The following is a 24,202-nucleotide window of genomic DNA, read 5'->3' on the forward strand; positions in this document are numbered from 1 at the left end:
GCCTTGCAACATTACTCTAAGGAGTGTGACAACTGTCATTCTGGCCATTCTTCAGAGGAGGACACTGAGTCATGGGCCATTTCAGAGGCTCTCCGAGGCCCCATGCCTCCCAAGGAAGAGGTCCAGACCAAGACTGCAGCTGGTCCAGTCCCTTTAGGGAAGGTTAGTCAGGATCCTCTATAAGATGGACTTGGTCAAACTTGAATATCAGAGAAAAAAAGCCTGTTACTTGCTTTCCTTAGCACCTTGAGAGCAGGAACTCCATGTTTTTTCATCTCTGTCTTCTTCGCTTCTCAGCCCTGGGCTGGCTACTCGGGATCTCATAGGGATTAATGCACAGGGCTGGCCCTCAAGGTGCTGAGGAAGGGGGAGAGGGAGTCATGTGACTGAACTCCCTCCTGTCAACTTGTTTGTGTGCACATGCATGCCCAGGCTGCACAATGCAAGCATGTTTGGCCGGGCCTCAGAGAAGGTGGGTGTGAGCTCTGGCATCATCACTGGATAGCTGTGTGGTGTGGAACAGGTCACTTTCTCCCCTTAAGTCTCAGTCATCTCCTCTGAAAAATGGGGCCAATGATCCTGTCATGGGATGCTGTGATGATTACATGACATGAGTGTAGAAGGGCCTGATGACATGGTCAGTGCAGTGCCTGGCATGCAGTAGATGCCCAGGACACATGGATTGACTCTGATCCAGTAAACTCCGTGGAGTGCTAGGAGCTGAAATTATCACCGAGCAATCAATGGGCTTACTGCCTGATGTGCATGGAAGCCAATACCATGGCACCAGCTTTTGAGAAAAGAAAAGCTTTATTGTAGTTGACTGGCAAGAAGACAGGAGAAAACACTCAAATCTCTATCCCCAAGCTGGGGTTTGGGTCAGGTTTTATAAGAACAGGGTAATGAGGTGTGATCAGATTGGATCTTGCAATGAGGTGATGCCAGGGTGCATAATCTGATTGGATCCTGCCATGGGATGATGCCAGAGCTCGATCTGATTGGATCCTGGATCCTGCTGTGCAGTGTCCACTTCTTAATTTAGTCCCTCCTCCTCAGTCCAAGCCCTTAGGTTCCCCCTGTGGGTTGCACACTTGGTTCACCTGGTAATGCTCAGATTATGTGACTTTTAACCTGGGGGTCCATGGCCACTGAAAAACAACTCACCATTTGTTACATAAAAGTTGAACCAGATTGGTGTGATGTGGTTACAAAGGGACCTTGGAGGTCAGTATTCATTCTTCTCATCATCTGTGGGAGAAGCTGGTGGGGAGGAGGGACTTGCTTCGATTTGGGGCAGGGCTGGCCCTGGAACCTAGCCTTTGGACCCCCAGTTAGGCCCTCCCTGCCACACCGGACCAGGTCAGCACTCAGCCCCACAAACACACCTGGGCTTCTGTACTTGTACGTTCTCAGTTCGCTCCCATTTCCTTTCCACGAGTGCCCAGCCCCCTACACATAACCCCTTTTGAAAACAGAACAAGTAACTGCTTCTGTGCCTTTGTCTTTGAAATATGTTTTGAATCGATTGCTTTTCTTTACTAGGTGGGTTTTTGGTGTTTTGTCTACCTCCTACTTCCCATCAATCATAAATGCCTGCGAAAATTCAGCACAGGGTTGTAAAGAGAGAGAGGTCAGTTGGTAGCAAATCCTCAATCCCTCCACGTACTTCTTCCCCTACAAGAACTTAACAACAACAACAACAACAACCATCCTCCCTCCCTCAATCTAAAAGCCTGGCCTCTTCCCTTTCCAAGGGCTCTGGGAGAAAGAGCTGGAGAATTACTCTGGGCTTTGGCAAGACTTCAGAATTTTTTTTCTTTTTTCCAGTAGAAGCTCAATAATTCCTGAGATCCAAATTTAGAAGCTTGTACGGAGAGCCCTGAGAAATCAGCCAGACTTTCTTTTTTCCCCCCTAAGCAATCTAATAAAGCTATTGCACAGTCATTTCCCAAGGTCAGTTTCCAGCTTTTAATAGTTTTAATGAGCTGTTTAAAAGGCTCCTCAACTTGTGCCCATCCAAGCTTGCACGTGTTATGTGTTTGGGTACAGAGAGGAAAGAAAAGGAAGAAGAGAGGAGGATGAGGAGTAGATAGGAGAGGTGGGATCAGTTCTGCTAACTGGGACGCAGGCAGGGGACCAACCTAAGGGCCAGCTCCTCTCCAGAATGCCCCAGGGGTGCTAATGGGAGTGAGGTTCTACCCTTGATATCAGATCTAAATAACTACAGGGACCTGAAAGGCTGTCCTCACTTCTACCTCGAAGCAGGAACCACAGGTGCCGCCAAACCTGGGACATCTGCAGGGAGATGAAGAAGAAGGTATGATAGAGAGACAGGATAAAGACAGTGGGAGAGATGAGACAGACGGGCCTTGAGGGTTTAATGAATAAATGAACTTGTTGACGGAGTTGAGGAGAAGGAAGGAGAGAAAAGAAAAAGGAGGCAGCATCACAAGTGATACTCCAAACACAACTAGGGCCTGTATATTAGGTGGCTTTGTGCTAATAACCACCACCCAAATCATGGTAATGCTGATAACACCCAATCCTATTCAGCACTCTCTTACTGTGCACCAGGCTCTATGCTAAGCATGTGGTAGGCCTTCACTCCTGTGATTCTCACAACTGCCCAGGAAGGTAGGTTCTAGTATTGTTCCCATGACACAGAAGAGGAAAACAAAGGGTCAGCAAGGAAGAGTCATCAGTCCAAGGTCACCTAGTTAGTAAGGCTAATTTGCATCTAGCAGTCTGACTCCAGAACTCATGACTATAGCCACGACTATTATTCTGTACATCTCCTCAGGGCAATATGAAAACTTCAGAAAAATCCAGATATCTATGTAAAGCAGAAAATAAAAATACCCACAAGCCTACCCCATAGTCACAGACTTGAGCATTTTGGTGTACAGTGCAGAGACCCCAGGCTGTTTAACAGCAGCCACTCTTCTTCCTTCCACAGAAATAGAGTTATAGTCAGGCTATGAGCATCCAGCTAACCAGCCTTTCCCAGCCTCCCTGGCAGCTAGGTGTAAACAGGTGATGTGGTTCTTACCTGTGGAACCTGAGAGGAGCCAATATAGATGCTACAGGCCTGGGTCGGGGACAGTGGAGGTGAGTCCTCTGAACTCTCTTTCCCCTCCTTGCTGGCTGGAATCTGTATGCACCACCACCCAGCTTCAGCCATGCTTGTGATGGAAGGAAAAACTGCGCCGGGGAGAGGCACCCACCTCCAGGGCCACTCACTTACACTGTTATGTGGGAGAGAAAGGAAAGTCTTTTTTTCCCCAAAGTATTGGTGCATTCTTTTGCTTCAGTAGCTTTCCCTAACTATTGCAGTATATTTTCTTCTAGTTTTCTTCCCTATGAATATGTGTACAGTCATTTTTCACCCATTACCCCATTAGGTGCAAATGTTCCTTGACTTAGTATGGGGTTACAGCCGGATAAGCCCATCATAAGTTGAAAATATCATAAATCAAAAATGCATTTACTACACCTAACATATGGAACATCATAGCTTAGCCTAGCCTATGGTAAATGTGCTCAGAACACTGACGTTAGCTTACAGTTGGGCAAAATCATCTCACAACACAGTGCACTGCATAGTGCTGGTTGTTGACCCTCGTGGTCACGTGGCTGACTGGGAGCTGCCACTTACTGCCACTCTCCTGCATGGAGAGCACTGGACTGCATATTGTTAGCCTGGGAAGAGATCAAAATTCAAAATTCAAAGTATGGTTTCTATTCACTGCATGTCACTTTTGCACCATCATAAATTTGAAAAATCCTAAGTTGCAGACGATTTATATTTGTGCTTTCCCTCATATTTCATGATTATCTTTCAGGATAGGTGAGTCCAGACTCACCATCTAATTCCAGAACAATATCAACTGAAAACGATGATCAAACTACAAACCAGCCATTCCATCCCTCTACTTTGATTTGAGAAGATCTTAGATCTCAGGCACTCAGTGGGAAGAACCCAGTTCCCACAGTACCATCAGGTATGTCTGAGGAAAGATTGTTGAGTAACGCAGCTGTCTCTCTCTATGTCTAGGCCTGACACCTTGCCCTTGTGTCGTCTTGTGATGGGCAAGGCCCAGCCATCCCAGTTGCCTCGTTTTGAGCCTTCTACACATGTCCTAACTGAGGCCCTGTATTTCTACTTAGAGATTTGGACACTGAGGCTTGAGAGGATCTGGTTTTCTGGGCCCCACACCTGGTGACAGATCTACATCTGGTCAAAGATGGACTGTGAGGCATGGTGAGGGCCGGAGCTTGTGTTCAATTCCTTCCATTCTAAGACCACTAAATTTTTAAAAACAGTTTTTAGTTTTTCTTATGTTTATAAAAGTAATATTTGTTCCCTGTATACGAAATCTCAACAAAGCAGTCAGAATAAGCCTTTTAAAATATGTCGTGCCAGGCATGGTGGCTCATGCCTGTAATCCCAGCATTTAGGGAGACAGAGGCAGAAGGATTGCTTGAGCCCAGGTGTTTTTGAGACCAGCCTGGAGAACATAGCAAGACCTCATCTCCACAAAAAGAAAAAAAAAAGGAAGAAAAAAGTCAGAAAAAGACAAATAAACCAAGTTTTTAAATGGGCAAGGGTTTGAATTGACATTTCTTCAAAGAAGACATGGAAATGGCTAGTAAGTATATGAAAAGATGCTCAGCATTATTAGTCATTAGAAAACTGTAAATTTGACCCTTGTGGTCAAATTCAGTTGAGTTCACAATCCAGACCACTACTTCCCACCCTCTAGGACAGCTGTAATAAAAATGCAGGCAATACAAGCATTGCAGTGGAGAAACCGGAACCCTCAGACACCTCTAGTGGGAATGTCAAATGGTATAACCATCATGGATAACAGTTTGGCAGTTTCTCAAAATGAATTGAGAACATACACCTATACAAAATCTTGTATATAATACTTATAGCAGTATGACTCATAATAGCCCCAAAGTGGAAACAACCCAAATATCCATCAACTGATGAATAGATAAACAAAATGGGGTACGTCCATACAATGGAATACTATTTAACAATAAAAAGGATGAAGTACTGATATATGTCACAACATAGATGAGCCTTGAGAACACTCTGCTAAGTGAAAGAAACCAGTCATGAAAGACCATGTATTGTATAATCCAATTTATATAAAATGTCCTGAATAGGCAATTCTATAGAGATGGAAAGCAGATTAGTGGTTGCCCGGGGACTGGGGTGGGGAAGTGGGGAGTGGCTAAGGGGTGTGTGTACTTTCTGTAGGGGAGGGGGACTAAAACTGTTCTAAAACTAGACTGTGGAGATGGTTGCACAACACAGTTAATATACTAAAGCCCATTGACTTGTACACTGTATTTTATGTATTTATTTATTTATTTTTGAGACAGGGTCTTGCTCTATCACCCAGGCTGGAGTGCTGTGACCCAATCTTGGCTCACCACAACCTCCACCTCCAGGGCTTAAGTGATCCTTCCACCCCAGCCTCCTGAGTAGCTGGGACCAAAGGCACATGCCACCACACCTGGCTAATTGTTGTATTTTTTGTAGAGACATTGTTTCGCCATGTTGCCCAGGCTGGTCTCAAACTCCTGACCTCAAGTCATCCTCCTGCCTTGGCCTCCCAAAGTGCTGGGATTACAGGTGTGAGCCACTGTGCACGGCTGCGTTGTATACTTTAAATGGGTGAATTGTGTGGTAGGTTAATTATATCTCAATAAAGCTGTTTAAAAAATGGAAGTTAAATCCTGTCACTCTTTTGCTCTCAACCCTCCAGTGGCTCCTCGATTTTCTTAGAGTGAGACTCAAATCCTCATGATGCTCTACCAGGCCCCAGGCCATCTTGGCATCCAGTTCCATCCCTGACCATATGCACATCTGCCCCAGCCACAATGGCTTCCCCACTGTGCCAGAGGTGTGCCAGGCACATTCCATTACTGGGTCTTTGCCCTGTCTGCTCCCACTGCTAGAGAAGCTCCATCCTTAGGCACCCTCCTGCTGGCTCCCTTCTGCCTGACAAGTCACCTCCTTATGGACCTTCCCCTGCCACTCTATTTAGGATTACAGTCCTGGCTCCACCAGGCATTCCTGACTACATTGCCCCTGTATTGCTTTACCCACAGCCCTCCTTGCTGCCTGGTATACCATATGATTTACTATTTTATAACATGTATTGTGCAGCTACCTCCAGTAGACATGAATAGACATATCTAGAATGTAACCCTATGAGATCCAGGACTTTCTGTCTTCATCACTGCTTTATCTCCTTACTCAGAATAGGGCCTGGCATATAGCACATACTCAGTAAATATATGCTAAAGACACACAAGATTGAGACTACATGGGGTAAACACTGTTAATTATTCCCAGCTCCCTCCTTCTGTCCTCACTGGCCATAATAGAGACTGAAAAACCCAGGCCCTCATTTTCTTAGTTTACCTTCAGCCATAGCCCTTAGGACAGTTCAGGAAAAGGCTGCCAGGGAGTTTCTGGTAAAATGTTTACTTCCCTGATGAGGAAAGAAGCCTAGGAGGAGAGAGAACCTCTCTGTTAGTGTCTTGTCTATATCTACCCAGTGCTTCCCACCTTTGAATGCTGATGTCTTTCCAGGATTTTTTTCTTTTCATGTACACACCATTTGATAAAATTAAAATGGGATTGTCCTCTCTATACACTGTTTGATACCTAGTTTTTTCCACTTAATGTGCCATGGACCACTTGACTTATCTGTCCTTCTTAGTCTCCCATGGGGAGTGCTGACTTTGCCAATCTCTATTCATTCATTCTGCACTTGTTTCCTGGGTACCTACTGTAATGACAATTGGCAAGACAGATCAAAAACTGTGGTGTAGGCTGGGAATGGTGGCTCACACCTGTAATCCCAGCACTTTGGGAGGCCAAGGCAGGAAGATTGCTTGAGCCCAGGAGGTTGAGATCAGCCTGGGCAACATAGTGAGACCCCATGTCTAAAAAAAAAAATTAGCTGGGTGTGGTGACATGTGCCTGTAGTCCCAGCTACTCGGGAGGATGTGGTAGGAGGATTGGTTGAGTTCAGGAGGTCGAGGCTGCAGCAAGCCATGATGGTGCCATTGCACTCTAGCCTGGGTGACAGGGCAAAATGCTGTCTCCAAAAACAAAAAACAAAAAACCAAAAAAATGATGATGTGTCCTAGGCCCAGGGGGGCTGGGGCAAGGGATGATGGATGGCTGGATCTGGCATGGGGGGGCGCTCCATGTATTCTCACTGAGGAAGAGGCAGGAAGGGATTTCAGGAAATGGGCCCAAGTTGCAGAGGTGGCTCAGTGATCATGAGGCTGTGGAGGCAGGCAGAGACCCTTTCTGTTCAAACCCTCACTGTTTTGACTGCAGACACTGGGTCTAGGTCTGCCTCTGCCAGGAGCTGTCTTGCTGGCAACAGTATATACCTCTGAATCTGGGAAGAAAAAGCCGTGGGGTGGTTTCATTCCTGTGCTTTCTGCATAATGTAAATGTAATTAATCATGTCTAGGGTGGTTATAATTTAGCATTTTTTTTTTTCATTTTTAGCAGTCTAATTAAATTCATTTAAGCTTTATAAGTAGTTATTTTAGAATTTTTCTTTGTACCCCTACTGGTGTAGTGCTGAAAACTCACGATAAATATGTCTCAAGGTGGCTACTGCTGTTTTCAAAATGAATCTTAGAGACTATTCAAGTGAAAAGTACTATTGTGTTACTACAACTTAAATTAGTCATAGAAAAAACTGGAGAAATATTTCTTGTGTCTTTCTTTTCAAAAACTTTTCAGTGCTTTAAAGAATTAGGATGGGAACTCAGGTTAGCTGGGAAAAGTTGCTTGACAGGACGGGCAGGTGACTGTGGCGGTCAGTGCCTACTCCTAGGACGTGACTCTGCTTGGGTTTTCAGCTCTCCGATTTGGTAAAGAAGCCATATACACCCTTCTCTGTCTCTCAGACAGAAGCCTATTTGCTGCCATGTTGTGCGGAGCTCATTTTAATGGTGTAGTAATTCAGTTAGAAAACTGGGGTACTTAACCCTTTTACAAATGCTCTCCTCGCCGAGTTTACAAATCCCCTGTTAAAGTCAGAAAAACATTACGTAAAATATGGATTTTTAAAAACTCTATTAATAATCAAAGAAATGCAAATTAAGTCCACAACAAGATGCCATTTTTCTCCTACCCAATTGTCTAAGATGTATATCAATGATTAATAGTGTTGTCAGTAGTGCTGGCAGAAGTTTGCATTGGTATAATCTCTATGAAGAATAATTGAACAGTTAGTAAAAAGAATGTCTTTTGGATAACTTTTTCTTTTTTTTTAAAGGGAATTTTTTTTCTATGATCTTTGAACCAGAAACCTAGGAGTTACAAACCTAGGAGGATTGTATCTTAAGGAAGTATGGATTTTTTTTTTTTTTTTTTTTTGAGATGGAGTCTGGCTCTGTCGCCCAGGCTGGAGTGCAGTGGCGCGATCTCCGCTCACTGCAACCTCTGCCTCCCAGGCTCAAGCGATTCTCCTGCCTCAGCCTCTTGAGTAGCTGGGACTACAGGCGCCCGCCACCATGCCTGGCTAATTTTTGTATTTTTAGTAGAGATGGGGTTTCACCATGTTGGTCAGGATGATCTCGATTTCCTGACCTCGTGATCCGCCCACCTCGGCCTCCCAAACTGCTGGGATTACAGGCGTGAGCCACCGCGTCCGGCTGGATCTTAATATATATATCTAGCAACCTGTATTATATGCAGATATATTAAATATACTCAGCATTCCAGATTATATAATGTGATGTACACGCCCACATACCCCAGATAGCACTGGAAAGTTGATCAGAATTGACTGTGTTGTTCATTCAGCGGCTCTGTGAAACATCTCCTGTGGCCAGTCGTCCTTCCTTTCAGGTCTCTCGAGTTCTAGGCTGAGAAGAAAAGTGGCCTCCTGTACAGCTTCGCCTTCTGGAGCCTCAGGCGGAATCGGGACTGCTGGGAAGCTGTGCGGGGGCGGGTCCAGCAAGCCCTGGCAACGGAGATCTTCCCAGACGAGACAGAGCGACCGTTACTTCCCGGGCTGCTGTGGGTCTGGTGTCTGGCTCTGTGGCCCCGGGCTGCAGGGACAAAAGTGGCTGGTCTTCTAAGAGCACCAAGCTCAGCAAAGCCACCCGCTGCTCACAGGACCCACGCGTTCATTCCTACTCTTCTTTTGGTCTCACAAGAGCCACACTGCCCTTGGAATGGGCGTCAAGTCACAGCTCGGCGCTTTCCTTTAGTCTTCTGCCATCTCTGCCTCCTTTTCAGCCATTTTCATCCGAAGTGTGGATCTGAAGCAAATGACCTAGAGAAGTTTCCTTCATCTGGTTGTTATTATTTGCTGAATTTTTTAAAAGAAACTTTTTAATACCTTCTTCTTTGCTACATTGTTCTATATGTAATAATTCATAATCCACATAGGAAATGCCTATATGTAATAATTCATAATCCATATAGGAAATGCCAGATAAGCCCCTTTAAGAAGAATGATGTGGGGTGCAATGTTAGGTTGCCCTTGGCGTCAGATAGCCTGGGTTCTGGGCCCAGTGCCCCCCCTTAGTAGCTACTGTGTGACCTAGAATGAGATTGGGCCAGTCTCCTTCATAAACGTCCTTCTAATTTATTCCTGAAATTACCTCATTTGTTCTCTTCTTCACTTTCTGTCTCCCCACTCTAGAAACATTGGCTTCTCAAGAGTAGGGGGACTCCTTCAGGGCTGTTCGCTGTGTTTATAGAGCACAGACGATTGACTCCCTGCCCTTGCTGGGCCTCAGTTTCCTCAAACACAAATAGGCATGATAACAATCCCTACCTACCTCATGTTAAATGGGCTTAATACATGCAGAATGCTCAGAACAGTGTCTGTCATGTGGTAAATCCTCAAGGAACAATGAATAAGGATTAAATTCTGCATCCTCCCACATAACTGAGAAAAGCCTGGTAGGAAATCAGGTTAATGGAGAGAAAAGACAGAGGGATGAGAGCAGCTCGAAGGAGATGATCATTTCTGCAGACATAGAATCCAAGTTGCCGTGTGAAATGGTAAGAGGTGGTTCCTTGGTCCGGAAGTCCCAAGAAAGAGTCACTGGTTTGGGGGAGGTGAAGTTGGCTAACCCACCTTCAGCAGTGAACCTGGGCAGCAGGCTGGAAGCTGGCTCTCCCTGCTGGCTGAATCCTGCTTCCGTGGGAGCCAGGAAGGTGGGTGGTTTCCTCTCTCTGACAGTCCACCGGTGACTCAGGTCTTCCAGAAACCTAGGACCATTAACACTTTAGTTCAAATAGAATGAGTAGTTTAGGTAAAGACTATGTGAAGTCATCAGTGTCCAATGAGAGTGGCACTGAAACCTTCACCAACCTTGTTTAGAAGGAATTTTTCCCCCTAAGAGTGCATTTTGAGGCCTGAATAAGGAAGGCCACTGCTTGAGGCAAAATTTGACTTTTTCACTTGACTTCTGTGATATAAGCAGTAAAGTCCACTGGGATAAACCTTGACATTGATACCCAACAGAGAGAGGAGGGGTAGTTGGAAGCTAATTTGGCCTTCCTTTGAGGCAAAGGACCTCAGAGGGTTCATCAGCTCCCTATCAGCAGAGCAGGATGCCAAGGCCACGAAGGGCGGTGGCTTATCCAAGGTGTTTGGCTGGTGTAGCCAGGTTCTCAGACACCAAGCTAGAGGTGCACCAAGTCCAGCTTCCCTGTCTTGTGGTTGAGAGAATGAAAGCAGGTGAAGTAGCCCATCCATGCAGCAAGGGCCCTTGCCCAAGAGGAACAGCTGGATCTGGGGTGTTCCCTGGGCAAGTACATCAGCACCAGGCTTCACCCACTGTGTCCCTGGTGCTGGAAAGGCCAGTTTACCAAAATGCCTGCCTACACTCAATTTTATCATCATTTAAAAGTTTGTTTCTAGTTGTATCTGAGACTAATAACAATTTATTTTTATTTTACCTTCAAGCAGTGTCAAAAACTAACACCAAGACCCTGAGCATTACACATAATGTTGATGTTGATTCATATTAAGATCTTCCTTTTCCTTCTGTGAGTAACTGTGCAAGGGCCTGGTGACCTACAGGGGTGAAAAAAACAGTCAAAAATGGCTGGGCATGGTGGCTCACACCTGTAATCCCAGCACTTTGGGAGGCCAAGGCAGGTGGATCACAACGTCAAGAGATTGAGATCATCCTGGCCAACATGGTGAAACCCAGTCTCTATTAAAAATACAAAAATTAGCTGGGCATTGTGGTGTGCACCTGTAGTCCCAGCTACTCGGGAGGCTGAGGCAGGAGAATCGCCTGAACCTGGGAGGCGGAGGTTGCAGTGAGCTGAGATGGCGCCACTCCAGCCTGGCGACAGAGAGAGACCTTGTCTCAACAAACAAACAAACAAACAAAAAGCACTCAAAAACAAGCATCATCTTCAGGGAGCTTCATGCTAATTGGGGAAGACAGATATTAAACAAGTAAATGAAAAACAACTTCAACATATCAAGTGCCATGAAGGAAATGAAGATTTCTGACTACCTTTGAGTCAGCAGATACCTGACTCAAGACATCTGTCTTTGACCTAGATGGTCCTCTAACCTCAGACTAGTCACTCAAAAATCAAACTTCTTTACCCCATTCTGACTTTTCCTTCTGACTTCCAGGTCTTTTAATAATAAGGTTAGCAATGCAAAGTGGCTCTTAATGTTTTTAGGGACAGGGACCGCTTTGAGAACATACTAAGTTATGAGTGTTCTTTGCTGAGACACACCCTTTTCTGCATACAGCTTTAGAGGACTTCATGGTTTGTGGTTAAGAACTCTGATCCTAGGCTGGGCACAGTGGCTTACATCTATAATCCCAGCACTTTGGAAGGCCATGGCAGGAAGATTGCTTGAGGCCAGGAGTTCAAGACCAGCCTCAGCAATATAGCGAGACCCTGTCTCTACAAAAAAAAATTTAAAAATTAGCTGGGTGTGATGGTGTATGGCTGTAGTCCCAGCTACTTGGGAGGCTGAGGTGGAAGGATTGCTTGAGCCCAGGAGTTCAAGACTGCAGTGATTTATGATTGCACCACTGCACTCCAGCCTAGGCAACAGAGTGAGACCCTGTCTCTAAGAAAACACACACACACACACACACACACACACACACACACGAAACTCTGATCCTAGAGGAATAAAGAGACATGGAGAAATGAGTGTTCCAGCTCAGCTGCAGCTGTGTGTCCTGGAGGTGGAGACCAAATGCTTAGATTGACTTGTCTCTACAGCACTTTTTGTATTTCTATTGACGCTTTATATTTTTGTTGACCTTAAGAGCAGATGTAATATAATATTAATTCTTCCAGTCATTCAACTTGTTTATTGATCTGACATACAAAGGAGTAAAGTAACTTGCTCAGGGTCACCAGCTAATTAGCAGAGTCAGAACTATAGCCCAGGTCTCCTTTTCCTCTAGATATCTGGAGCAATGCTCAGGGAAGATAAGTTTTGATGGTGGTTCAGTGTAGTGATGGTGTTGACAGCAGTGGCAATAATGATGGTGTCATCACTGGTAATAGTGATATTGTTGATGGTGATATGGCAGTGATGATGATGTTGGTGGTATTAGTGGCTATAACAGAGTAATTGTAGTCATTTGTAGTCATGGTATTAATGGTGGTGATTGTGGCAGTGGTGGGGTTCTTGGTGGTAGTAGTGGCACAGATAGAATTTTTGCTGGTGGTAGTAGTGGCAGTAGAGGGGTTGGTGGTGATGGTAGTAGTGGCAGTGTGGAAGAGTGGTGAATGTTGGAGATGAAGTGGAAATGGTAGGTAAGATCAAAATCCAGATTTTAGGAAATGCAAAGCAGTTATTCTGGTTGCTTTTCTGGCATTTATTTTTCTTTTCCTTGTTTTTTTTTTCTCTGTCTTTGTCCCTTACATTTTTGATATCACAGATACCTGCTTTCATCCAGGAGTTCTCTTTCCTTTGGATCTGCTTATTGTGTCTAGAATAAAAATATATATTATTAGAATGGCAGGCCATACATCTTTGCTTTGCTTTATAAATCATGAGTATGTTCTATTGTTATGGAACAAATACCTTTATTCTATAAAAATGCAGTCTTTTCAGAGCAAGGCTGTTAAATCTCCAGGAGTTCTTTTCAACTTGCGTGTTGCTGCACATGACCTAGCAAGCTGCAGTTATAGGATACCCAGAATGGAGAGACTGATAACAGCTATAATAATGACCCATGGGATGTGTTGACCTCCCTTCACCATTCTGTCCTCAGCATTTTAGCGCCTGTGGGATGAATCTTGCCTTCATCTTCTGCTGGCATTAATACCAGAAAAAGTTCAATCCAAATGGGTATCAAGTGGTATATTTTTGGAGACACTGGTAGGGCTGTTATCATTGTCAGGCCAACTGCTAGTATTGTGTTGCGTTTCATCTCTGGCTGCTGTCTTATTCAGTTTTTTAATTTTTTATATTTTTTTTAGCTGTGTGGGTGAGCACATGGATGGCATGCTGATCACATTTCCAGGCCACCATGAGGCAGAAGTAGAGCTAATAGACTGGATGAAAGAAGAATGAGCCAGAGCAATGCCGACAGTCTGCAAAGCCAGGTCAAGTTAGGCAACCTGGAGCATAACAGAGAAATGCAAAGTCCAGCCCTTGGGTCCAGACAAGTTACACAACGATGGCAGGTAAGGGCCTCAGCCTGAGTCTGGGAGAGAGATTCAGGTGCTGCGGTAAACTGCAGCCTTCAGGTGGGAGATGGCTGCCAAGAACGTGAAATTTGGGGTGGTGATTAGAGCTCTGTTGTGTTAGCTTTCACTGGGGGCTTGTGTTGAGTTTTCTTCAACACATTTGACAAACAGGGATGGAATTGAGGAGAGAGGTCAGAAAGGTGGGACTGACGTAGGGTCTTGAAATGTCACATGAATCTTAGAGTGGGAGGCTAGACACCCGGAGCTCTGGTGAACTGTCATTGGCTAAAACATGATTCATTACAATTTACGGAGAGCTCAACTAGCAGTGGTTAGGTGACAAAAACCTGATTATCTCATAAAACAAGATGTCTGGAGGTAAGCAGAAGGTTTGTTTATGATGTTTCAGAAGCAAAATTTGGGCAAATGTGCCAATTGGTAGGTTACAAGGAAGCCAGTTTTTGGTTCCACTGTAGTCAAGATTTTCTGATAACCACAGTTATCCAGAAATGGAGATGTGAAGCAGAATTAGCACCCACCTGGCAGGGACATAGTAAAAGGAATTCCTGTACCTGTTGGGGAGTAGGAGAGACAGGGGAGAGAACAGGCTTTTACACTGACCTGTGAGTTTCCTTCCAACCAGGAGAGCCCATGATTCTAGTAATTAGTTTTTCCCCTTTGAATGTTCATTAGATAAATATGCTAATTGAGATAAATTTCTACTGAGTGAGGTATAATTTCAAGTTGAACAGTATTTTTTATCTTTAGCATCATTGTATGAGATGCAGAGTTTGCTGTGGACTTGGGCCTATACTGTACTTTGTTTATAACTGTGATTTTTACAAGGACAGAGCGAGGAGGAACACATTCTTCCCTGAGGTAGGTTATGGGTGACATGAATATGGCCCACTAACTGGTATATTAAGTACTGATTTCAGGGGTCCCATGAATCTTCTTAGGCTTGCCACACTGAGACAGAGCATCAGCTAGGCAGAACCTCCTCTTACACCCCTGATGTTTTATGCCCGGTAGGATAGCAGCAACCCTGTGTGGATCAGGGTATCAAGGAGAGAAGGGTGAATACAGCTGATTAAAAGAAATTGCTCTATTTCTCTCCAAATGAGAAATTTCTCATGGGTTCTAGTGTTTATGGCAAACATGATCTCTCATCTAAAGTCTCTGAAAGCTTCTTGGACAAAATTCTTAATTTCCTACCGTCACTTAGTAAAAAGAAGGAAAGGACTTGGAACAGACACCGTTTGGCCATTCGCTTTCCTCTCCTCTTTCTACACTGCTACTACCTGTGTAGTCACAGCAGTTCAGTTTGTATTAGAAAACCCTATGCCCTACTCACAGTGATTGCAGGTGGGACCAGAAGTGTTCATCTGACCCATCAGATTCTTTCCTCAGGGAATTTGGAGTTGGGACATGGAGGAGCTAATCAGTTTCTGCTGGGTGTCTGGTCATTCTAAACAGTGTGGGTTGCCACCTTCTACCACGGGCTCAGAGAAACCTAAAGGAGAGGTGCAAAAAGAGACCATGTGGCCAAAGAGAGAGCCAAAGGCCTTGTCCACCTGCATCCAGCCACGCTATCAGTCCCTGCGCCCAGCTTCCTCCAAGACCCCTGAACATTTCCTAACTTTCTATTCTGTGCCATACCTCAGAGTCCACCCTGCAAGGCCACCCTATTTTGTTTAAGCTGGCTTGCATGGAATTTTGTTTTTTTATAGGAACTTGAGAGAGAGCTCATCCTTATAAGGGCCTAACAGGAAGTTAATATGAATTTTAAAAAGAACTGTATTGTTTTTTCCACATACAAAATGATAAAAATGCTCATTGCTACGAAAAAAAAGAGCATAAAAATGTATGTCTTAGGACGTGAAAATTGCCACAATAATCCTCCTTAGAGAAAATAGCTCTCGATAGTTTAGGGGTGAGAGCAATGAGTGAACACAAACAGGCATGAACCAGCCTTTCCTGGGCTCTGACCAGGGGCCACACGTTGTTCAAAGCACTCTAGCGGAATTAATTCCTTTAATCCTTACTATCAGGCCATGGTGTGGGACGAGTACCACCCTCCATCTAAGGATAAGGAAACTTAGACACAAAGAGGTTGAAGGGGGAGACAGGATTTGAATCCAAGCAGTCAGGCTCTAAGCCTGGGCTCTTAACCGCCATGCTATACGAACTCTCATTTTATTAGGCTGCTGCAAAAGTAATTGCAGTTTTTGCCATTGAAAGTATTGGCAAGTAATGCTCCCTTATTTGTTGCCTATTGCTATGTAATGAATTACCATGAACTTACTGACAAACTCATACACATCTGTTATCTTACAGGGGCCAGACACCACTTAGCTGCATCCTTTGCTTCAGGGTATTTCATAGGTCAGTAATCAAGGAATCAGCCAAGGCTGGAGACTCATCTGAGACCCCATTGAGGAAGGATTCACTTCCAAACTCACACAGTTGTTGGTGGGATTTGGTTTCTTCTGGGCTCTTAAACTGAAGACCTCAGTTCCTTATGACTGTCAGTTAGAGGCCACCCTCCATTTCTTTTTATGTGGGACACTTCATAGGGCAGCTCTGCACACAGTAACTTGCTTCCTCCCAGCCAGCTAGGGACAGAGTGTGCCAGCAAGATGCAAACTCTGTCTGAAGGAACCAATCACACTGTGCTATCCCACCACTTTGCCATGTTCTGTAGGTTAAAAGCAAGTCACTAGGCCAGCCCACAGTCAGGGGAGGAAATTACACACGAATGGGCCAGGGCACATTGAACATCATTCTTGGGATCTGTTCAGCACACCCCTGCTTATCCTTTTAACTTTTATGCTTTTTAGAGACAGGGTCTCACTCTGTTGCCCAGGCTGGAGTGCAGTTGCACCGTAAGAGCTCACTGCAACCTCAAACTCCTGGGCTCAAGCAATCCTCCTGCCTTGACCTCCTAAAGTGCTGGGATTATGGGTGTGAACCACTGCATCCAGCTAATCTATTTTATCTTTTGTAGAGACAGGGGTCTTTCTATGTTGCCCAGGCTGGTCTTGAATTCCTGGCCTCAAGAGATCCTCCTGCCTCAGACTCCCAAAGTGCTGGGATTACAGGCGTGAACCACTGCACCCACCCAGCTTTTACGGTTTTGACAGCTCTCTGGTAAGGGGACCACCACATGGCACCTTGAACTGGAGACAGCCAGGCTCACAGGGCACAGTTGGCCTGACCCACCCACCCTGATGTCAGAGGAGAAGCTGGGCCTAAGGGAGAAAGCATGGGTCTGCTTATCTCCTCTTGCCTACTTTCCTGCTGGAGAAGAGAAGCCCAGGAAAGGGACTGAGAGATGGTGTGAGCCCCTGCTATGCCTGGAATAGGCAACGTGAGACCTAGGAGGCCTCGTGCACTTCCCCCACCTCCCTGCCCTCTAGGACACATGGTGCAGGGCAAGGCCAGCTCTCCTGGGGAGGCTGAGTGAGGAATGGAAGGAGGTGTGGGGCTTTGCTGCAAGTCTCCTCCTGGAGAGGAGAGAATTCTCCCTGACCCTTATCCTACAGAGAGTTTTGCACCTTACTTCTGTCACTAGACCAAATATATTTGGACATCTTTCTATGTCAGAGCATAGGGATCCAATCCATTCTGTTTAGTAGCCGCTTATGACTCCACTGCTTGGGTGGCCTGATGGATCCTGATCTCTAAGCACTCTGAGGCCTACCCACTGCTTTTGCAGTGCATCAGTTCTGGTGGACCCTCAGAATTGCCCCATTGTGCTGGGTCATTGTGGAAGTGTGTGCTCTAAACATAAACCTCCTAAAAATAGTCTTTCTGAGTTTGGTGCTTGTGTATCTCTCAGTGAATGTCTGCCAACTGGGGCCGCAAGGCTTCCATTAACAAGAATCTCTGAGCAGGTCCTGGGGCCTCCAAAGGAAGGAAGTGGAGTCAAGCCTCTGCCACTCCTTCCAGGGCTGAGGAGTGCTCTGCATTTGAAAAGGCGGGTGTGTGATACCCTGGATGATATCCCTGTATGAGCTCATCTTCCAGGAATGAAAAGGAGGTGTTCTTTGCCTTCAGGCAGGTGAGACTTTTGCCCTGTACATTTGCTTCTATTGCACACTCAGTTGGCTCTTTCACTGTGCACACTACAATTAGTGAAGTCTGTTTCGTGCCTGCCACTCCAGGAACAGGCTTTAGACGGTCTTTCATGCCCCCTTTGCTTTATTCAGGGTTTTCATAAATAATCTTTCTTCTCGCTTACCTTTTCTTTTCACCTACAATATCTGAAACCACGTAGAATGTTGCCTGCATACAGCTCAGCATCCTTGCACGGCTCCCCTGTTTAGTTAAAGTGGTTATAGTTTTAGCCTATTTATTAGTAAGTAGTTGTAATTTACTGAGGTGTTGGTGTGCAGCAGGCCTTATGCTAAGCGCTTTGTTGGAAAAAGCTCCTGGAAGCTTCACCACAGACTGCTCTTTGAGATATTTTTGTCAGCCCCGTTTTACAGAGGAGGAAACCAAGGCTGAGGAAGTGACACACTCAAGGTCATTGAGCTAGAAAGTGGTTGTATCTGAATCTATGCCAGCTTAGAAAACCTCCATTTTTAAGCCCTCTGCCATGCAGAATTTTTGCCTCACCCCCTCTGTAGGTTCACTGTGGGTCCCCGTAAGAACAAGGTTATTCAGCTTCTCAGGAGGACAAGGAGAAATTGGAGAGCCTCCAGGGAAGGCCCTGGAAAGTGATTAAGAGGATAAGAGTGAGGCTGGTGAGAAAGATTAGAGGAATAAGAGAAATTTAATCTGGAGAAATAAATCCTAGGGGCGATATTAATGGCATTCTACTGATGTCTTCATGAAAATCAATTAAAATATTTTTAAAAACAGGAGCCAGTCTACTAGTTTTATTACACGATGTGAAAGGAATGATTTGACTATAATTTATTTAATTAGTTTAGCAAATATATACTATACAGCTACCATAGCCAGACTACAGAGTGAACAAGACAGGTGAGGACCCTCCTCTGGCAGAACTTACATTTTGGTGGCAGGGGTGGAAGAAGGAGGGAAGAGAGGCAGGCAGGATAAATGAGGAGAGGCTGTTCAAATGGGATCATTCCAGTCAGTGATATGTGCTGTGACAACACCATGGCAGGAAGATGGGTAAGCCAGTAACTGTAGGTGGCCTTCTCCCAGAAGGGGGCATTTGAATGGAGACCTTAAAGCCATGTGAAGCTCTGGGGACAGAGTGGTCCAGGCAGAGGGACCTTGAAGTAGGAACAAGTTTGGCAAATACAAGAAACAGAAAGCAGAAGGGTGAGGCTGGGTGGCAATCTGGTGGGAGACCAAGCCAGAGCCTCACCATGCAGGGCCATAGAAAGCCACCAGGCAGAGCAGCTCTCCAGCTATGGGGGCAGGGATAATCCACTGATGGACTGTAGGAGATCAGAGGGAGAGGCGTCTGTGTGAGAGATGCTGTGGCAGCATGGACGGGGGTGTCTGGGCCTTTGGGTCTGTCTTGTGTCGATAGCACAGTGGGGAAATCGACGTGGATTCGATATTGGGGTGGGGAGAGGTGAGAGTAAAAACACTCAAGGATGACCATCAGGTTTTTGAAAAGAAGAATCAACTATTTTGTTGTCATTTTACTAGAGAGGGTTTTAAGAATACCTTCCTTGAAGGTTATTAAGCTAATACTCCCAAGCCATCCATTTATGTGACATTTGGGTCTCTGCATGTTTTCTTAGGGAGAGGATCCAACCTCTCTTCTGTTTCCTGGAAGGGAAAACCTCCCCCACACCACCTCCCAGCAACAGAAAGTTTGAGTTTGACCTAGACCAAATTCTCCCCACTCCACCTCATTTTGCAAGAAAGGAAACTGAGGCTGTGAAAGTAGGTTACAGAAGGTCACACCACATCTCGTTCTTGGCAGAGTCCTAGGTCTCCTGACTCCCCAGCCAGGGCTGTCTCTGCTATATGAGCTGTGCAGGGAGGCAGAGCGTTGAACAGACATTGATTCCATCCCTCCTAACCCAGATGAAAACAAGGACTCTTTCTATTTAGAGGTCAGTTCTCTGAGTTAGTGGCCTCAGCTCTCAGTGTCTTGTCTGCCTAATAGAAATTTAAGCACGTCTGTTACTAAGAACGGTCCCCAGTATTTGAGTGCTTATGAAATGCAAGTAAGATCCAGGTGTGACTGGAATTGAAATGAGGCAGGAGTGAGGTATGTGTGTGGATCTATGTTGGGGTGCAAATCATCAAGGTTTAGGGCCCGTGGGAGGGTGGTGAGCTCCTCCAGGAAGTGTTCCCGTAACTGTTTTCTCAGTAAGCCCTGAATTATAGCCTATCAGACAGGATCCTGAACAGAAATCTCTGTCATCCCAGTAATACCATGAGGTACCTTTTAAAAGCAGGAGTCAGTTGTAAAGTAACCAACCCAAAGTGGAATGAATATATGTTTGTTTCTCAGTTTTCACTTTCCACACTTCAGGCACACTTTTATGGCTCAGTTTCTGAAGGCCAGCAAAAGGAAACAGAAGGAAATAAAGACACGCCTTTTAAAAAGCTGGTATTATGAAGAGGAAACCATAATGTTCCTGAAAGTGTGGATAGATACAATGCAGACCTCCTCTAAGAAATATCCAAATGAGATTTTAAAAACTTTATAATGACCTTTTGTGTAGCCTGGCAAAAGCAAATGCAAAACATGATGAATGTGTTACACTTATAATGCCCCTTGCCCAGAAGCTTAATTCAATGTGGAGGGAATTCAGACAGTATCCGTGGCCATGTTCCTTGAGGAATCACTGAATGCCTCAAGACCTGAGGCCAATTTTTGTGATATAGCATACTTTTAGACAAAGCTAAACTGATAGAATTCCCAGGACACAGAAATGCCTTCTCAACCAAACTTACTTTTCAGATGTACTTTTCTGGGGTTGAAGCAGGTGGTTTGTCTCAAAGAGGCCTCTGTTTAAAGGAATGTTTGCTCTTTGGGAAATGCTATCACTGGCAGCCTTGAATCACATTATCAAGTTGGTTGGCTGATTGAGAGCTTGGCAAAGATCTGAGGCAATGAGTCATGCAACAAAGTGAAGTTTTGATGAGTTAAGGAAGGGAAGGACCATCCCAAATTTGGGGGGCTGTCTGGGGTGGGGAAGCTTCTGCTGCGCACAGCCCTGGGGTGGCTATTGGTGTTGGAAACCAAGCTAGTCTCCTGGTCTGGTCCTGCTGAGACAGGTGAAGTCCTTGACTTTGCAAACAGCTTGCTTTCCTTAGAAAGGACCTGGAAACATGGAGTCGGACAGTTTGTTTAACACTTTAGTCATGGTATGCACTTTTGGCCTGAGGACTGAGAGTTTGTGTCTTATTCAAATGGCGAGTTGAGGTCTCCTGCTAGATGGTAGTCTACCAGGCACAGGCTTGCAAAGGACCTAGAATTTGGTCACCTCCAAGAATGGAGACACTTCCTCCTATGAAGAAGTGATTATTCTTGTTTAAGACCTGGAGAGAAGCTAGTATATCTCAATTTTCAGCTTAGCTAGCCAAGTTCTAGCAGGAACTGTGATAATCGAATCAGCAAAGTACATTCTGGGGGTAAAATGTTTACTATACAAAGGTTAATTCACCTCTGCAAAGAGATACTTCCTCACCCTCAGAGCTTCTACAGATTTCTGTAGAAGTATTTTTGGGTTTAGTGCCCTGACCATAAAAAAGTTGGGAAAATATATTATACTCTTGGGCCCAAGAGTAACTATCAGTCACTCCTGGAAAACTCTAGGTATCACTGGTATTACGGTAGGAAATAAGAAGAGAGTAGGAATTGAATGCTTGTTGAATATTGTGGTTGGGGAGAGGAGTAAATTGAGGCTCAGAGAGCTTAATTCTTTGTTCAATCTAGAAGGAGATAGAACTAGGATTTGAACTCAGGGCTATCTGGCTATAAAACCCGCCACATTTCTACTATTCCATGCTTGATAAGAGCAAGATTCCGTAAGCTGGTAGTTGGAAGGAGTTTCTGGCATCTGCAGAGAGGGAATGCCTCTTCATTCCTTTTTGAGACTTTTAGTTAAATCCATATGCTTTACATCAGTGTCAAGTGATCTGGGAAAGGCCCTTTTTTTCTTACTTTTGCATCTGTTCAATTAGAGAGTGGAACCAGATCACCTCTCAGGACACTGCTGGCCCTGACTCAATGTTTGACCAGAGTAGAGCCAGTGGGCAATTCTGGCTGTGTATTTGAAATGGATTGTGTTTGCCTTTGTATCAGAGATAAGCCAGGTGGCCACAAATCTGTTTCCTCTTCCTAGGCACATGGCTAAATTGTATTTCCCAGCCCCCTTGCATCTGTGTGGGCCTTGTGACTAAGTTCTCACCAGTGAATGCAAGGGCAGATTGCTGGGTCATTTCAAGGCCAAGGCAGCTGAGAGCAGTTATGCTTCATCCAGTTCACTTTGCCCCTTCCACAACAACCTTGGAGACTATGTGATGTGGGTAATAGCATTCCCAAGATGGAAGAGGCTTGGTTTCCTGAGTCAGTGCTGGTGGAGAGCTGCCAAGGGAACTGCCCAACCAGAACATCTCTGCATTTGACTTTGCACGAGTGAAAAATACAACTGATTGTTGAGTCACGCTATGGATACGTGGGATTGCTTGTTATAGTAGCTAATGTTAAGCGCCCTAATACAGGCATCCAGTGTCCATTCCCTCATTCCTTTTTCTGAAAGAAACAGCATCATTTTCAGTCCATATGCTCCAGAGGATTTACAATCATCTCTCAGTATCCATGGGGGATTTGTTCCAGGACCCCCACAAATGCCAAAATCCGTGGGTGCTCAACTCCCTGATATAACCTGGTGTAGTATTTGCACATAACCTACGCACATCCTCCCATATACTTTAAATCATTTCTAGATTATTTATAATACCTAACACAATGCCTACACATCACTTCATTTGTGTGGATTCATTCTAGTACTTGTTGCGCGGCAAATTCAAGTTTTGCTTTTTGAACCTTTGTAGAATATATATATTTTTTGTACTTGTGTGAAGTTTATTGATATGTTACACTTGGTGGCAGACTCCTCCCTGAACGTTTGTTGACCCAAACAGCGTCATTTCTGGATCAGTTTTAAGTTTCTGCTTTGCGAACTTTGTGAGCATGAGTCACAGTTATCTCCCAAGCAATACTGTAACTTCCAAAGGGAGCACATTTGTCACCAGATCCTGAACTTTTTAAAGCTACCCCTTCTACTAAGAAAGCAACAGAAAGAAAAACAAGGCTTTCTGGCCTGGGGACATCTTGTCCACTTGTAGCAAGATGAGCATTCTGGGGGCTTAAGGTAAGTTTCTGGAATTTCTCATCTGCAGGAACAGCAATGGGCACTTATACTGCAGCATATCTCTTCAAAACTTCTGACTTTGAAACAACAGCATGTCCAGAAAGAGGTTTCCATTCCTTTGCTTTCTGAGCATTTGAGCCTACTAAGATAAAAGGTGGGGCACTGGTCTTACTATCTTCGATCATCTTGTAAGTTGGAGATCATCTTGTAAGTTGGTGGATGCTGCAGAAACTGTGGATCCTTAGGATTAGATAGACAGAGTTGCTTGGGGAAAAGGCCCAGGTGCAGGTGGCAGTGATGGGTGACTTTGTTGATTCTTATCAGTTAGACAATAAGGGGTCCACATGTTAGAATATCGTCGTGGTTGTCCTGCTTCACTTGCTGCCATTGCTAATATCTGAGAAGCAAACCGAGCTGTGTCAGCTGGGACATAGGCAAACTCTGGTGAAACAGCTGTTGGAGATGGTTATGAGGGTGGGGTAGTAGTCTTAGGGGTGGCTGGTTTGGAAGAAAGATCACGAACTGCTTCAGTTTGCTCAGTGCCTAGCTCAGCATAAATGGATGGAAACTGGGTGGTTTTGTCACTACATCCTGTTCCGGTTACATTGTCTTTGTAGATTTTTCCATCTGTGTAGGCACTTTAGATTCTGTTCCCTCTGACCACTTCATCCAGAGAAGTAGTCCCTTCTCTATACATAATAAGTTCTTTAAAATAAACTGCTGCAAACTGGGTCATGTTCGGTGGGTTGGTTTTGAGAACGGCTTTGCTAATTTTCCTGAGCAGAGTCTTGAGGCCATAGGGTACGGCAAGTCTGGGCTTTGAAGAAATTATTTTGGCAGGATATCTGTAACTCAGCTTCTTTCCAGCTGTGCTCTTAAGAGCTTCCTTGTTGCCCCCTTGCTGGAATATTTTTTAAACAAATATTTTAGATCTGCAGTTGATTGAATCCATCTATGCAGAACTGCGGATATGGAGGGCTGACTGTATGAGTACTATGAGCCTGGCCAATCAGAGCATTGCATGTCCCCCACCCTTAGCCACAGAGATTGGCTTAGCAATGGGCATTTGAGCCAAGCAGGGCCTTTGGGGAAGGCTCTGTTCTACTGGCTTTGAAGCTATGATGAAGAATGCAGCTGCTGGGCACCACCACATGAAGAGAGCCTGCCTAAGGGTGGCCGCAGA

General features: G+C 45.0%; 1 long non-coding RNA gene and 1 pseudogene across 4 annotated transcripts in view; both read right to left on the reverse strand.

Moving 5' to 3' along the window:
* Nucleotides 1-10,279, reverse strand: part of LOC105377095 (uncharacterized) — a 48,956-nt gene extending 38,677 nt beyond the window's left edge. For 3 of the 4 annotated variants that reach the window (XR_940848.3, XR_940850.3, XR_940849.3), the window contains exons 1-3: nt 8,808-9,791; nt 6,443-6,529; nt 3,050-3,245 (exon numbers count right to left, since the gene is read on the reverse strand). This is a non-coding gene — a long non-coding RNA (uncharacterized LOC105377095). Of the gene's footprint in view, nt 1-3,049; nt 3,246-6,442; nt 6,530-8,807 lie in introns of all 4 variants that reach the window. The other variant, XR_001740708.2, reaches the window with a different exon arrangement.
* Nucleotides 22,719-23,924, reverse strand: CABYRP1 (calcium binding tyrosine phosphorylation regulated pseudogene 1; annotated as a pseudogene).

Source organism: Homo sapiens, chromosome 3 (assembly GCF_000001405.40).
Source record: "Homo sapiens chromosome 3, GRCh38.p14 Primary Assembly".
NCBI lineage: Eukaryota > Metazoa > Chordata > Mammalia > Primates > Hominidae > Homo > Homo sapiens.